Raw genomic sequence first — 15299 nt, 5'->3', positions numbered from 1 at the left:
TCTGGCTTGTAGGGTTTCCGCAGAGAGAGCCACTGTTAGTCTTATGGGCTTCCTTTTGTGGGTAACCCAACCTTTCTCTCTGGCTGCCCTTAACATTTTTTCCTTCATTTCAACCTTGTTGAATCTGACGATTATGTGTCTTGAGGTTGCTCTTCTCAAGGAATATCTTTGTGGTATGCTCTATATTTCCTGAATTTCAATGTTGGCCTGTCTTGCTAGGTTGGGGAAGTTCTTCTGGATAATATTCTGAAGAGTGTTTTCCAACTTGGTTCCATTCTCCCCGTCACTTTCAGGTACACCAATCAGATGTAGGTTTGGTCTTTTCACATAGCCCCATATTTCTTGGAGACACTGTTCATTCCTTTTCATTCTTTTTTCTCTATTCTTGTCTTCACGCTTTATTTCTTTAAGTTGATCTTCAATCTCTGATATCCTTTCTTCCGCTTGATCAATCTGGCTATTGATACTTGAGTATGCTTCACAAAGTTCTGGAGCTGTGTTTTTCAGCTCCATCAGGTCATTTATGTTCTTCTCTAAACTGGTGATTCTAGTTAGTAATTTGTCTAACCTTTTTTCAAGGTTCTTAGCTTCCTTTATTATGGGGGAAGGAATTAAAGAGGGGAAAATGTGATTCTGATTAAGGCAATATACTCAGACTATTTAGGTTTAGATGACCTGAGTAAGCAAAGGGAAATTACAGTCCAGCTTTCTGTAGTCCTTTCCAGAGCTAATTTGAAGGAATAGAAAGGGTTAGAACATGCTCCTTTAGCTCGGAGGAGTTTGTTATTACCCACCTTTTGAAGCCTACTTCTGTCAATTCATCAAATTCATTCTCCATCCAGTTTTGTTCCCTTGCTGGCGAGGAGTTGTGATCCTTTGAAGAAGAGGTGTTCTGGTTTTGGGAATTTTCAGGCTTTTTGCACTGGTTTTTCCTCATCTTTGTGGATTTATCTACCTTTGGTCTTTGATGTTAGTGACCTTCAGATGGGGTTTCTGCGTGGGTGTCCTTTTATGTTGATGTTGATGCTATTCCTTTCTGTTAGTTTTCCTTCTACCATTCACGCCCCTCTGCTGCAGGTCTGCTGGAGTTTGCTAGAGGTCCACTCTAGACCCTGTTTGCTTGGGTATTACCAGCAGAGTCTGCCAAACAGCAAAGATTGCTGCCTGTTCCTTCCTCTGGAAGCTTTGTCCCAGAGGGGCACCCACCAGATACCAGTCATAGATCTCCTGTATGAGGTGTCTGTCAACCCCTGCTAGGAGGTGTCTCCCAGTCAGGAGGCATGGGGGTCAGCGACCCCCTTGAGGAGGCAGTCTGTCCCTTAGCAAAGCTTGAGCGCTATGCTGGGAGATTTGCTGCTCTCTTCAGAGCTGGCAGGCAGGAACATCTGTCTGCTGAAGCTGCACCCACAGCCGCCCCTTCCCACAGGTGCTCTGTCCCAGGGAGATGGGAGTTTTATCTATAAGCTCCTGACTGGGGCTGCTGCCTTTCTTTCAGAGATGCCCTGCCCAGAGAAGAGGAATCTACAGAGGCAGTCTGGCTACAGCGGCTTTGCTGAGACATGGTGGGTTCCACACAGTTCCAACTTCCTGGCGGCTTTGTTTACACTGAGGGGAAAACCGCCTACTCAAGCCTCAGTAATGGCGGACGCCCCTCCCCCGACCAAGCTTGAGCATCCCAGGTCGACTTCAGACTGCTGTGCTGGCAGTGAGAATCTGAAGCCAGTGGATCTTTACCTTGCTGGGTTCCGTGGCAGTGGAATCCGCTGAGGTAGACCACTTGGCTCCCTGGCTTCAGCCCTGTTTCGAGGGGAGCAAATGGTTCTGTCTTGCTGGCATTCCAAGTGCCACTGAAGTATGAAAAAAAACTCCTGCAGCTAGCTTGGTGTCTGCCCAAATGGCTGCCCAGTTTTGTGCTTGAAACCTAGGGCCCTCGTGGTGTAGGCACCTGAGGGAATCTCCTGGTCTGCAGGTTGCAAAGACCATGGGAAAAGCATAGTATCTGGGCCGGAATGCACCGTTTCTCACGGCACAGTCCCTCATGGATTCACTTGGCTAGAGGAGGGAGTTCCCCGACCCCTTGCACTTCACGGGTGAGGCAACGCCCCACCCTGCTTCTGCTTGCTCTCCGTGGGCTGCACCCACTGTCTAACCAGTCCCAATGAGATGAGCCAGGTACCTCAGTTGGAAATGCAGAAATCACCCACCTTCTGCATTGATCTCGCTGGGAGCTGCACAATGGAATTGTTCCTGTTCAGCCATCTTGCCCAGGCCCCTAAGATATATCTTATACATATAATCTTAAATATATTCACTGAAGAGAAACAATTTTGTTGAAACTTAATTTATCTCCCTAACACTATATTGAACATGTACCATCTTTAGCATTTCCTCACCAGCATCCTTTAAAGCTTAGGACAAATATAGGTTCATTTCCTATCTGTTAAAGGAGAGCTGATTATAACATGAGTATTCAAAAAGGAGAGATTTCCTAGAAACAGTCATGCTAATAAAAGCTAACACTTTCAGGGCTGGGCATGGTGGCTCATGCCTGTTATCCTAGCACTTTGGGAGGCCAAGGCAGGCAGATGACAAGGTCAAGAGATTGAGACCATCCTGGCCAACATGGTGAAACCCCATCTCTACTAAAAATAGCTGGGTGTGGTGGCACGCACCTGCAGTCCCAGCTACTTGGGAGGCTGAGGCAAGAAAATCACTTGAACCTGGGAGGCAGAGGTTGCAATGAGCAAAGCTAACACTTTAATAGCTCTTAATATATGTCAGGTTCTAGTAAAAGTGTATTTTATGTCTTTAATTACCATGAAATATCTATACTATATTACAGATAAGAATAGCACAGAGAGGTTAAGTATTTCACCCAGGGTCACCAGCTGGTAAATAGCTGAGCTAGGATTTGAACTCATGCAATTTGTCTCCAAAGTGCCTCTAATTCTAAATAGAACAGAATCATCAAAAACAACTGGAGTCCTTAATCAGTGTTTCTCAAAGGGTGGTCCTCCCTCTTCTGCATCCGAATAACCACGGGTACTAGTTTAATGTTTACATTCCCAGGCCCCGTCTCAGGCAAACAATCACTTTAGGATCTACATTTTATTAATAAATACTCCCGGAGAATTCTATGTCTGTTAAAGTTTGAGGAATACTGTATTAGAGACTAACAATCTAGTAGTGGTTCATCCTATATGCATAATAAGACTATATCACTTCTCTGTTCTAATTTATTAATTTATTTTAGTTTTCAGTCAAGCTTTTAGTAAAAAGATCATAAAATAACAGTTTCTTACAGCCATACATTAAGACTGCACACTTCTGAATGGAGAGATCACTCACCGGTGAATTGCTTTTTTATGACACTGGACAGCTGCGTAGCTACATCTCTGGCCTAAATTTATTTGAGGGTAATGTATTCTGAACTGAAATAATCAAGCTTCTCTTTTTATTTTCATTATATGAACAAAAAGGGTAGAACTGGTTTAGTGGAATAATCCACTGTTACCTGCTTGAAATAGTCTGCCTAATTTATATAAAATTAAAATCACTAAAAAATTTTTAGTAAATCGTTACTAGGTTGATTAGAAGAATAGCATTTGTAATACATCAACTTGCAGTTAATTTGGAGGGCATTGTGGTATAATAAAAATAATACTGAGGCCAGGAGTGGTGGCTCATGCCTGTAATCCCAGCACTTACGGAGGCCAAGGTGGGAGGATCACTTAAGCCCAAGAGCTCAAGACCAGCCTAGGCAATATAGCAAGACCCCATCTCAATAATAATAATAATAATAATAATAATATTCAATTAAAAGATCAGATGCTACTCCTAATCGTAATCACAACCTTTGGTTCTGTTGAACTGGAGACGGTTCCTCTGCTCCCAAGTCTTAAGTATTTACCTCATTAATTTCAAAATGTAAAGATTTTTATCAAATCTGTATTTACCTCTGTGATTATAAGGTTAAATTATTTGTAATAGCTGTTGAATAAAAAGGCTACTAATTGATCTAATAGTTTAAATTATATTTTATATCAATTTGATATCTATTTTAAAAATCATAATAAAAACTTTAAAGTCAAGTTTCAGGAAATCTGGTTAAGAACAATGAAGGGGCTGAAGAGGTTTTTGGAATGTTGGCAAGTCTTCAAAACAATCCTCGTGTATGGTTTTGGTGAGATGTGTTTAATGTCAAAAAGATGAGAAAAACCCAAGCTCTCCATACACAGTATATAATTAATTCCACAAAAAGGAAATCAAATAATTTCCACAATTAAAATGCTTCTGTATTGAAAAGGAAATTACTTTTAGTACCAACAAGTAAAAATGTTATAGAAATCCTTGCATAATATTCAATGTCTTATTTAACAGATTTTCCATGTCAATCCTTTATGCATTTTGCTCATTCTGAGGGATCATCCTTAGTTACGCACATTTGTCTGTTAGACTATATATATATATATGACATAGATATAGATATTATATATAGATATGCATATACATATTCTACCTCTTAAATAAAAAGTATAAATCCTTTCACATTGGAACAGTTAAAATAATCACCTATGTTTAAAAATCCATTATTGTGCCAGAGAAATATTTTTTCTCATATGGATTATGCCTCTCTCATCCAAACATCCTCACATAAAATGTAAGAAATGTATATACATAAAAACAATCTGCAAGTTGACCTAACACACTTGTTGCCACGCTTATTTTTCAGCACTATAAGAAAACAGTGACAAGTTGACAGTTTAATTATAGAAAGATGTTTGCCTTTTCATATTTAATAGTATTCTAACAAATTATTTCTGAGATGCAGTGTTTTAAAGAAATTATTCTTCTCAACTACCCCTTTCCTCTTTTTTTGTTTTTTTCCTGGTTTAATAAGGACTTGTTTATTTTGAGGAAAAAAGGTCCCAAACATCAGGCTGTTCACAAAAATAACCCACAGTATCAACTTTAGAAACAAATCTTAAGACTACAACACTAATTATTTTTCTAGAGGATGCATTTGACATGCCAGCTCTCATTCACAAAACTACGTTGTTGCATTTGTGTTGAACTGCCTCACACAGCACACTAATGTGGGGGTGTAATACACATACTTCTAACTCAAAGCTGCTTTCAGGAGCTACTCAACTAAAGGAGATTGCCTTTGCAGTTAGGGAAGCAACTACTGAACTTACGTATGAATGAAAAGAACTGTACTCCCTGCATAACAAAAGATTATTTTGGAGACAGTTAATAAAAACCACATATCCTTTTTATTAAGTCATAAAGAAGTATCAAAATTAAAAGCAAAAATTACAAGGTAAGACTTAACAAAACTACTAGGGCATCAAAGGAGGTGAAAATGGAACTAGGCGCAGGGCACTATGAATTAATGAACATGGGAAGGACAAGGATTGGGAGAACAGTGAGCATGTGCTGAAGATACCATGGGAGAGGATCTGGTGAAAAATTTGATCTTAGACAAGCACCTACGTAAAGAAATGATGGGATAAGATTTCTAAACCCCACTATGTGCTTAAGAGTTATCTTCGCCATTGGTGCTGTCTCTGTCATCCTCTCCTTCTTCAGCCTCTTTTTCATCATCCTTGATCAACTCCAGCTGGTCATCCCCCATCTTCATTGTCATCATCATCTAGTAGGTCCTCCTCAGCAAAGTCATCTGCACCCCGCTCCGACTCCACCTTCACATTAGTCTCATCTTTCTTCATGGAACTACTGCTCTGCTCCTCTTCCGACTTATCATCCTTCATCTCTACTGCTTGTTTCCCCTGTTCCTTTTCAATTTTCTTCTAGGTTTTCTAAGAGAGAATCCACTTTTTGTTTTATCTGGGTCAATTCCTTCTTAATGGCCTGAAGGTCATCTCCTTTCAACTTTCCAGACTTGGAAGATCCCCGCTGTCCTCTCTTAGAATTGAAGCCACTTTTTCCCCTTCATGTTTCCTGATACATGCTGACATTTCGAGGGCACTACAGCCCGAGCAATAGGAGGAGGAGGAACATGTGCTGGGTAACTGTACATCCTATCATAATAATCCCGTTGAAAGTCATGGTCCAAGTCAAAAGAGGAGCTGTACATCTCCACCTACAGCGGCCCGGGCATTTCTCTCATTAACATACTAAACAAAGGCAAAGCCCTTATGAACAGAGCAGCCCACAATTTTGCAATACTTTGAAAAGACTGCCTCCACATCAGATTTCTGGAGCACAAGAGTGTTGAGATTCCCAATGAACACACGGGAGTTCATGGAGTGAGGATCCGTCTTGTCGGCAACGTTGCTGGCCACTGTGTTGGATGATGAGGCTTCTCACAAAGCCAAAAATGTAGCTGAAGATCAAAAAAATCTCACAGAAGTGAGCAGGCAGAAGAGATTCGATTCTGAGACTCCTATTCCCGGGTACTATGTGGAGAAGCCAACTGCTGCTCAAGGTCGGCAAGGCGGCCACAACCGCTCAGTCTTCATCTCTTCACAAAATGGCCTTTCTTCTTTTTATCCCGGGAGAGCAGATGCTTTGTTTTATCCATCTCTCTAGGGCCACAGCACTTTCTATGGTACTTTATGTAAAGGGATGCTAAAAAAGATTAACCTAAGAATGAATGCACAATGGAATATTATTCATCTACAAAAAAAAATAAAGTAATGATACCTGCTACAATATGGATGGACCTTGAAAACATTATGTTGCCAGGTGCGGTGGCTCACACTTGTAATCCCTGCACTTTGGGAGGCTGAGGTGGGCAGACTGCTTGAACCCAGGAGTTCAAGACCAGCTTGGACAACAGAGTGAGACCTTGTCTCTACAAAAAATGAAAACAAAATTAGCCGGGCATGGTGGCACACGCCTGCCATCCCAGCTACTCAGGAGGCTGAGGTGGGAAAATTGCTTGAGACCGGGAGGTCAGAGGCTGCAGTGAGCCATGATCACGCCACTGCACTCCAGCCTGGGTGACAGAGCAAAATTCTGTCTCAACAACAACAACAACAACAACAACAACAAAACCCCAAAAAACTAAAAGAAAACATTATGTTAAGTGAAAGAAGCCAAAAAGAAAACCACATCTTGTATGATTCCACTTATATGAAATGTCCAGAATAGGGAAATCCATAGAGACAGAAAGTAGATTAGTGGTTGGCAGGGTTAGGGTTGGGGAGGGTAGAATGGAAAACAATTACTAATAGATATGGAGTTTCTTTTTAGGGTGAAGAAAATGTTCTGGAATTAGAAAGGGATGGTAATTCAGCAACTTTTTGCATATACTAAAAACCAGTGAGAATTTAAAGGGAGAATTTTACAGTATGTGAATTATATCTCAATTTAAAAAGAAAGAGTGAATGAATGTCAACACGATTTTTCTTTCTCATCTAAAGTTCAAAAAGATTCCCCATGAACTAGTATCTAAGCTGATTTAATTTTCCCCACCCTTGGGCATATTCTCGGCTGCCCCTACCCTCTGTTCAACTATTTTGTCCTCAAATAATAAAAATGTATGTTAATACTATAAAAGAAATCAATCTTTTGGAAAAGCAAATAAAAATCACTTTAGATTAGTCCACTGTGGCTGTTTGCACGACTGTCTACATTAAAAAGAGACAGTAATGGAAAAATGATTGTAATGAAATATTCTCATTTTTCTCTTCCCTTCCTTCTTCCGTCTTATTACTAAATAACAGAATTAAATGTTGTTTGGGGTTAATAGCAAATGATGTAATCATCAAATTCAATTCCATGAACATTTACTGATCACCACAGTGCTACACTGGGAAACAAGCTCTCTTAAATAAGAAACAGATAACATATCTTAAAAACAAATCACAACACTATCCCATATATCACTTTCTTTGGAATATTAAATAATCAGTCCTGGAAATATAGAGATGATAAAAGCAGCTCTTATCAACAAGCTGTTAAGTCACACGATAAATATTTATTAAATGCTTATTCAATAAATAGTATTACACAAGGAAAGGAGCATCAGCTTTGCAATCAAGTCGATCTGGGCTGGAATTCCAGATCTTCATTTTCTAAATTATGTGCTTTGGGAAAATTAGTTAACCTTCAAGAATCTTATCATTCTCTCTTGTAAAACAGGAATAAAACTACCTGAGTCAGGCATGATGGCACACACCTGTAGTCCTAGCTACATGGAAGCTGGGGCAGGAAGACTTCCTGAGCCCAGGAGGTTGAGGATGCAATGAACTATCATACCCCTGCTCTCCAGCCTGGGTGACAGTGAAACTCTATCTCTATAAAACAAACAAACAAAACTACCTGCATGGCATGGTATTGTGATGAATAAATGAAATTAACATAGAACACACCTAGCAAACCTCTGGTAAATGTATTCCCCTGTTTTGTTTTGTTTTGGTTTTGGTTTTGAGACAGAGTCTCACTTTGTGGCCCAAGCTGGAGTGCAGTGGTGCGATCTCAGCTCACTGCAACCTCCGCCTCCTAGGCTTAAGCAATTCTCATGTCTCAGCCTCCCAAGTAGCTGGGACTACAGGCATGTGCCACCACGTCCGGCTAATTTTTGTATTTTTAGTAGAGACGGGGTTTTGCCATGTTGGCCAGGCTGGTCTCGAACTCCTGACCTCAAGTGATCCATCTGCCTCGGCCTCTCAAAGTGTTGGGATTATAGGTGTGGGCCACTGTGCCCAGCAAAAAACTGTTGTTAAGATTATGATTATGTTCAAGGCAGAAAAGAGCTAGGGGAAGAGAGTGGGTTAAAATGAATAAGACGTTTTCAATCGGAGGTTCAGTAAGAACTCAGAAAGATGGAGCTGAATGTTGAAGAATAAGTAATTTGTAGGCATATAGAAGTGGGGAGAGAAGGTAACTCTGGGTGGAAAGAAGATAATGCAAAAAGGCATTGAAGCTTAGTAGCGTAGAGTGTGGAGGGCCCTCAATTAATGTTTACTGAGTTAAACTGTGTTGATTACACATTATATTGGATGTGCCAGTAAAAAACACAAGTTTTTGAGCTGACAGTTCTTCCCTTTCTGAAATCTAAAAAAGAAAATTTTAAACAAGAGTACTTCCACTGTAGATTAGCACATACAATTTTTCTTTGTTTCCAGTTAGTCACTATTAATTATAAAACATAAATGTTTCAGATTTCTAGTCTAAATGGAATGTATTTTTAAATAAACACCTAAAAATCCAATTTAACTGTATTGAAAATATACTGTATTATAAAATACATCAAACTATCTCCTCCTAAAGTGTTAATATAAGAAAAAGATGTAAGAGTAAATAAATGTAATACAGTATCACATTTACACACCTTTTAACAACAAAACCTTTTATACTTTCCCAAGTGATAAGCTTTTAGTATAAGCTAATTAAGAAAATTCATAATAAGCAAAAGTGTCATAAACTTAGTAATATGTACATCATTTTATTGAAGTATAATTTATAACCAGTAAGACTAACCATTGAAAAATTCTTAGTTATATAGACACTACCCCAATCAAGATATATAATATTTCCATCAAAATGGAAAAAAGTTCCCTCCTGCCATTTGTTGTCAAACTCTTCTTCAAGGCAACCACTGACCTGTTCTCCATATCTATAGTTTTGCCTTTTCCAATAAATTTTGCCTTTTCCATATAAATGGAATCATACAGTATGTAGCCTTTTAACTTCTTTCACTACATTTAATGCAACTGAGATTCATCTGTGCTGTTGTGTGTGTATCAGTAGTTCACGTCTGTTCATTGCTGAGTACTATTCCATTGTATGGATGTACCACACAGATTGTTTATCCATTTACTTGTTGAAGGACATTTTGGTTGATTCCAGTTTTGGGTAATTATAAAATAAACTGCTAAAAAAGTTTTGAGTACAGGTTTTGTGTGAAAATAAGTTTTCATTTATCTTGAATGAATACATAGGAAATGGACTGCTGAGTCATAGGGTAAATTTATGTTTAATTTTATAAGAAACTGTCAAACAGTTTTCCAAGGTGCATGTTGCATTCTGCATTCCCACCAGCAATGTATCAGAATTAGAATTGATCTATATCCTCACCAACACATGGTAGTATCAGTTTCCTTGATTTTAGTCAACCTAATGGGTATTCAGTGGTATTTAATTTTTAATTTGCATCTTCCCAATTACTAATGATGTTGAACAATTTTCCATGTGCTTATTTGCCATCCAAATTTCTTTTTTGGTGAAGTATCTGTTCAAATCTTTTATGCATTTTAAAAATTGGGTTGTTTTCCTAGTGTTGAGTTTTGTAAGGTTTAAAAATATATTCTGGACATAACTGCTTCATCAGAAAGCAAATTTGCAAATATTTTCTTCCAGTCTGTGATTTGTCCTTTTTCATTCTCTTAACACTGTCTTTTGAAGAACAGAAATTTTTATTTTGATTAAGTCCAATTATCATTAGTTTCTGCAATAGCTTAGAAATCTTTGCCCAACCAAAGGTCACAAAGAAACATTTTCTCCTATATTTTCTTCTAGAAGTTTTGTAGTTTTAGGCTTTACATTTAGATCTATGATCCATTTTTTAGCTCATTTTTGTGTGTTGGTGAAATATAGATTGAGGTTCTTTTTTTTGTATATAGATGAGCTCTGTCCAAACACCATTTGTTGAAAAGATTATCCTTTCTCCATGGAATCGTCTTTCCCATTTGTAAAAATCAATTGATCAACTAATCATAAATGTGTGGACTTTTTTTTTGAATTCTCTATTCTATCCCATTGATATTTATGCCAATATTCCACTGTCTTGATTACTGTAGCTTTATAATAAGTCTTAGAGTTATATAGTATAATCTTCCAACTTTATTTTTCTTTTTAAAAGTTATTTTGGCTATTCTAGGTCCTCTGCATTTTCTCAAGAGTTTTAGCTTCAGCTTGTCAACTTCTACCCAGAAATCCCTGCTGGAATGTTTTTGAGATTGCACTGAATCTATAGATCAATTTGGAGGGAACTGACATTTTAAATTCTGCCTTGTCCCTTTGGCAAATTTTGTGCAGGACAGTTTCCAACCACTCTCCCAACAGTAAGAAACTTCTAATAGTGCTAATAAAAGATTGTGGGACCAAGACTATTTCCTTCTTCTCCGCCAGGAGTGGATTCTTTTTTTTTCTTTACCCTTCCCCCAGCCAAATAGGTTTTCACCTATACCCTGGAAATAACAGATGTGTTGCCCCTTCCTCAGTGGCTTAAGGCTTTTGTTCTTAAAGGAGAAGGGTCAAAGTGGGGCATCCTGTCTTTCTGGCAGTGACAGCCACTCCTCTCATTCAGGCCTGCACCAGTGAGAGAGACTCTCTGCCTTTCCCCACAATCTTTCTCTAGAGGTCTGTGCAGAAGATGCCTACAAGTGGGTGTGAACTCCACTTGTATCTGTGACTACCAATGGTTCTATACTTGGCCTTTAGAAACCCACTTAAAAAGTTTAACCAAATACTTCTTATCTGCTTGATTGGTGCCTGGTGTCTCTTCCTGTAACCATGCTCTGTCACAAGTGAGACAGTGCTTGTGTCTCATCTCTTTTTGGAGGAGTCTGTCTTTCCTTGGACTTTAGGCTACTTAGTTGCTCTGCATCAGAAGCTCTCTGATGGGTTCAAGAAATGTTAATGATTTTGTAGTTTATCTGACATTTTATTATAGTTAGGGTGAAAGTGACACTCTTTCCAATTTCCTCATCCTAGGTAGAAACAAAACTCCCAAATTCAGCAACATTTCAAAGTGAATTTATTTTTTGTTAACCAATAATAGCATGGATTTGTGGACATTTATTCAGACAACACTTGTTACACATTTGGATTCACAGATTTTTGGCACACTTATTAGTCTGTGCCCCAACCCCTCCCTATCAGAGATACACACACATAGTTTTGAAATCCCTATCATATCTTAAGATTTTTAAAAATCAACTTAAAACCCTTATAACTATGGTTTTGAAATTACTAAGGTCAATTGTAGTTCTGATAGCTATTGTAATTTAGCTAAATTTCAAATACAAAGGCAAAAAATGCACCATTCTACTAAAAAAGAAAAATAATTTGCGCACGTGGTCAAAATTAGCTTCTAAGAATATATAAGCTTTGAATTTCCTAATGTTCACATATTTAAAGTTATTGTCACAGCTATATGAGTATAAAAGGTGCTAAATTTTCTAGAATTTAACTCAGGACATAATGCCAGAAAGAAATATTTGTGATTCTGTATTTCCCACAAAAATGTAAACTGATTTTGACAAATAACAGCAATTACACCTATTACTTTTAGCACTTTGATACTTATTTTCTGAGTAACGTGTAATCTACAAATAAGAAAAACTAAAAACTGCTGTGATTTTTTTCAAGCAAATTTGACAATCCAATCTATTACAGCATTTTACCATAAAACATATGACTTATTTTTTCCCCATTGACTGATAGTAGTATATAGTATGTTTGACTTTGTAATGATAATTTATTATGATGGTCTTAAAATTTAAAGAGAAAAAAAGAAGGAAAATAATTTTTAAAGTGTACTATTTTAATACATTACTTTATAGAATTTAATTGTTCCTGGGCTCATGACAAATAAATTGACTTAAAACTAGCCTCTTATTTGTATTGATGAAAGTTAATTTGTACAGCAAAAGATGAGTAAAAATTAACTTGTACAGCAAAGGGGGAAAAATAGAAATGACCATTCAAATACTTTTTTAAAAAGTACTTTCACTATAAAACTGTTAGATACATTAATCAGTACATAGAATCAGGTAAGTGGTATCACGTGGTCAAAGATAGACCCAATAAATTCAATACCAAATTAAAAGGTTTTACTCTTAAAGGCTCCAAAGATACCATTTGTCAGAACAATGAATTCCTCTCTTTTATATTAAAATCTGAAAGTAATAATCAAGGTGGAAAAAAACTAAGTACTTTACTAAGTTCCTAGCAATATGGTGCTGGAATCTGTGTCCTACCATTCTTCAGTTAATTTTTAATGGATGATCATTAAAACAGCTGCTACTGCTCCTTTCTTTATAGACATATATTAAACTACTACACATTTCAAGTGAAATACATGATACTTCCCCCTGAAATAGCCAAAATTTGGGGTTCTAGTATTCTTGGAAGCATTTATCTGCTAGAAAAGATGTGGTTTTAATTCCCCTGTGATAAGGTGAATTTCCTTCATTATCTTCAAGGTTTCTATGTATGAGAGGATTGAATTCCTTCAAGGTCACCCAAAGTCCTGAGAGCTCCAGAGAATTATTTTGGCACTCTGACTTCTATTTTCTGCAACATTTGGCAATGTCTCAGAGTTTCATCAGAGAAAAAAAATAATAAAACCCACAAAATCTATGGGGAAAAAAGTCATAACTGATTATATTTGCCAAGGCAATCATATTCATTCAAGAAATTTTCTAGTATAAAGATATGTACCAATTATAGAGTGAAAGACTTCGCCTGTATTTAAAATGTTCTCTTTATAGCCCACTGGTATTTATTTGTTTTAGTCAAGGCTGGTATAGGTCTGCTCTCCTACCTTTTGTATTAGATGTAAAATTAAATGTAAAACATTTCAAATGTATTAAATCCAACTGTTGTAAACCCTTTCCACATAAAACTTCCTTCTACCAGCTAACATCTTACCAGAGACATTTTCCTATCAGCTGAGAAAAATAATTATTTCATTACATACAACATCCTCAAGAAAATGAAATTCATTTGTAATGCCAAAAATGATTGATTTTTAAAAACATTAAAGAAACTATCATTGACTGCGAAGGACAGTTCATAAATGAGAACTCAGTAGAAGAACATGAAGTAAATTCTGACATTATCTTAGAAACATTTATCTGCCCATATCGATATACTATCATGATTAATTCTTAAATCACCAGAAGAAGAGTTTTATAGGTATTTTCCATAGTACATTAATATTAACGTACTATGGTGAGGTTAAAAAAAAAAAGGGTCAGGAGGACAAAGTTCTGAAAACTTGGAGCAAGAGGGGAACAGACAACAAATGGAAGAGTGAAAACCTAAACCTTAAGTGGCATAATCTTACTATCTTGAGCACTTCCTCATTTAGGTCCTTCCCAAAACACCAAATGCATAGTTACATTCGCAATTATACCGGCATTCAATAATATGCATTTGCTCAATTAAATATTATTTGAAAATTAAATAAAAATCACAGTTATAAAAGCAAAAAAGAAAAATTCCACTTCTCAAAATATTTCTAATACTTCTTCCAGAATTGTGGGCAGAAAGTTTTTAAACAGAAGAGATCTTAATTTCTACTGCCAAATTTCAGATTTTAGGTTATAGAAAATGTAAATGACTAAGAAGCAAGATGGCAAACAAAACACAAGGCCAACAGCCTTGTAGAAACATAGAGACAACATCAAAATGCTTGAACGCTGACTGTGGAATTAAAGGTAACCACACGAGTTTGATAAAGAACTATGATATGGTCATCCATATCACAGTATGTAATATGAGAGGCAATTGCTTTTAAGTTATACTTGGTCAGCACCACCACGCACTAAATAATGTGCTTTACAAAGCATATTAAATACAGCCATAATCCCTGTCTTTAACATATTGTAATGTCAAACAGACCTATATACAGATAAAAAGACCTTGGTATTCAATTGAACAAGAACTAAAAGGCAAGGGTAAAGGAAAGACACCAGCTAAGAGTTTAAAAAATCCACTAGAAATAGTGTTTACTGGTAAAAAGAACTAACATAGTCAAATACAATACCGATTCTTCATGTAAATGGACTAAATGAGAGAAAACAAAAGAAAACAAAAACCTAGAGAGCAGTGGGATGTATAAAAAGTAAAGAATTCTCATATTTGTTCAATATTCAGACAAGTATCAAACTATTGTATTATTACATAAAAACAAGTCTTACCTTGTTGCTGTGAAGGTGCAATATCAGATTTATTTCTAACACGTAGGTAACTTTGTGATGGTTTGTGTTCAACTTGCTTAACATCCTGATTTTGCTTTAGTTGGTACTAAATAATTTAAGATATGAAGTCATAATATTATTTTTTAGTTACTTAAAAAAATCTGAGAAGTCAAATTATTCAAGTGTTTATAAAATTTTAATAATATGCTTGCTTTCTAGTTGCTTTTTATTGCTTTTTATTTATTCGCACTTCTACCAATAAATAGGTGATGAGGTACCTATTACAAAAGAAAAGACGTTGCAAAAAAAAACCTTTAAAAAGATTTGGATCATATATACAGATTTCAAATATTCAAGTCATTTCTGTCTATTTTCATTAGAGAATTCAGAGCTACT

The 15299-nt window shown here is 36.8% G+C and overlaps 1 protein-coding gene and 1 pseudogene across 34 annotated transcripts in view; both read right to left on the bottom strand.

The window, feature by feature from the left end:
- The window catches only part of KIAA0586, a 134691-nt gene that overhangs the window by 34560 nt on the left and 84832 nt on the right, over positions 1–15299 (bottom strand). For 26 of the 34 annotated variants that reach the window (NM_001244189.2, NM_001244190.2, NM_001244192.2 and 23 more), the window contains one exon: positions 14904–15009. In NM_001244189.2, the coding sequence (NP_001231118.1) occupies positions 14904–15009 (106 nt within the window). Of the gene's footprint in view, positions 1–5257; positions 6610–11708; positions 13336–14903; positions 15010–15299 lie in introns of those variants that run through there. The other 8 variants (XM_047432005.1, XM_047432011.1, XM_047432015.1 and 5 more) reach the window with 3 other exon arrangements.
- Positions 4785–6597, bottom strand: HNRNPCP1 (heterogeneous nuclear ribonucleoprotein C pseudogene 1; annotated as a pseudogene).

The sequence above is a fragment of the Homo sapiens genome, chromosome 14 (assembly GCF_000001405.40).
Source record: "Homo sapiens chromosome 14, GRCh38.p14 Primary Assembly".
Lineage (NCBI taxonomy): Eukaryota > Metazoa > Chordata > Mammalia > Primates > Hominidae > Homo > Homo sapiens.
The sequence above is the reverse complement of the archived record's forward strand: the minus strand, read 5'-3'. Positions and strand labels throughout refer to the sequence as shown.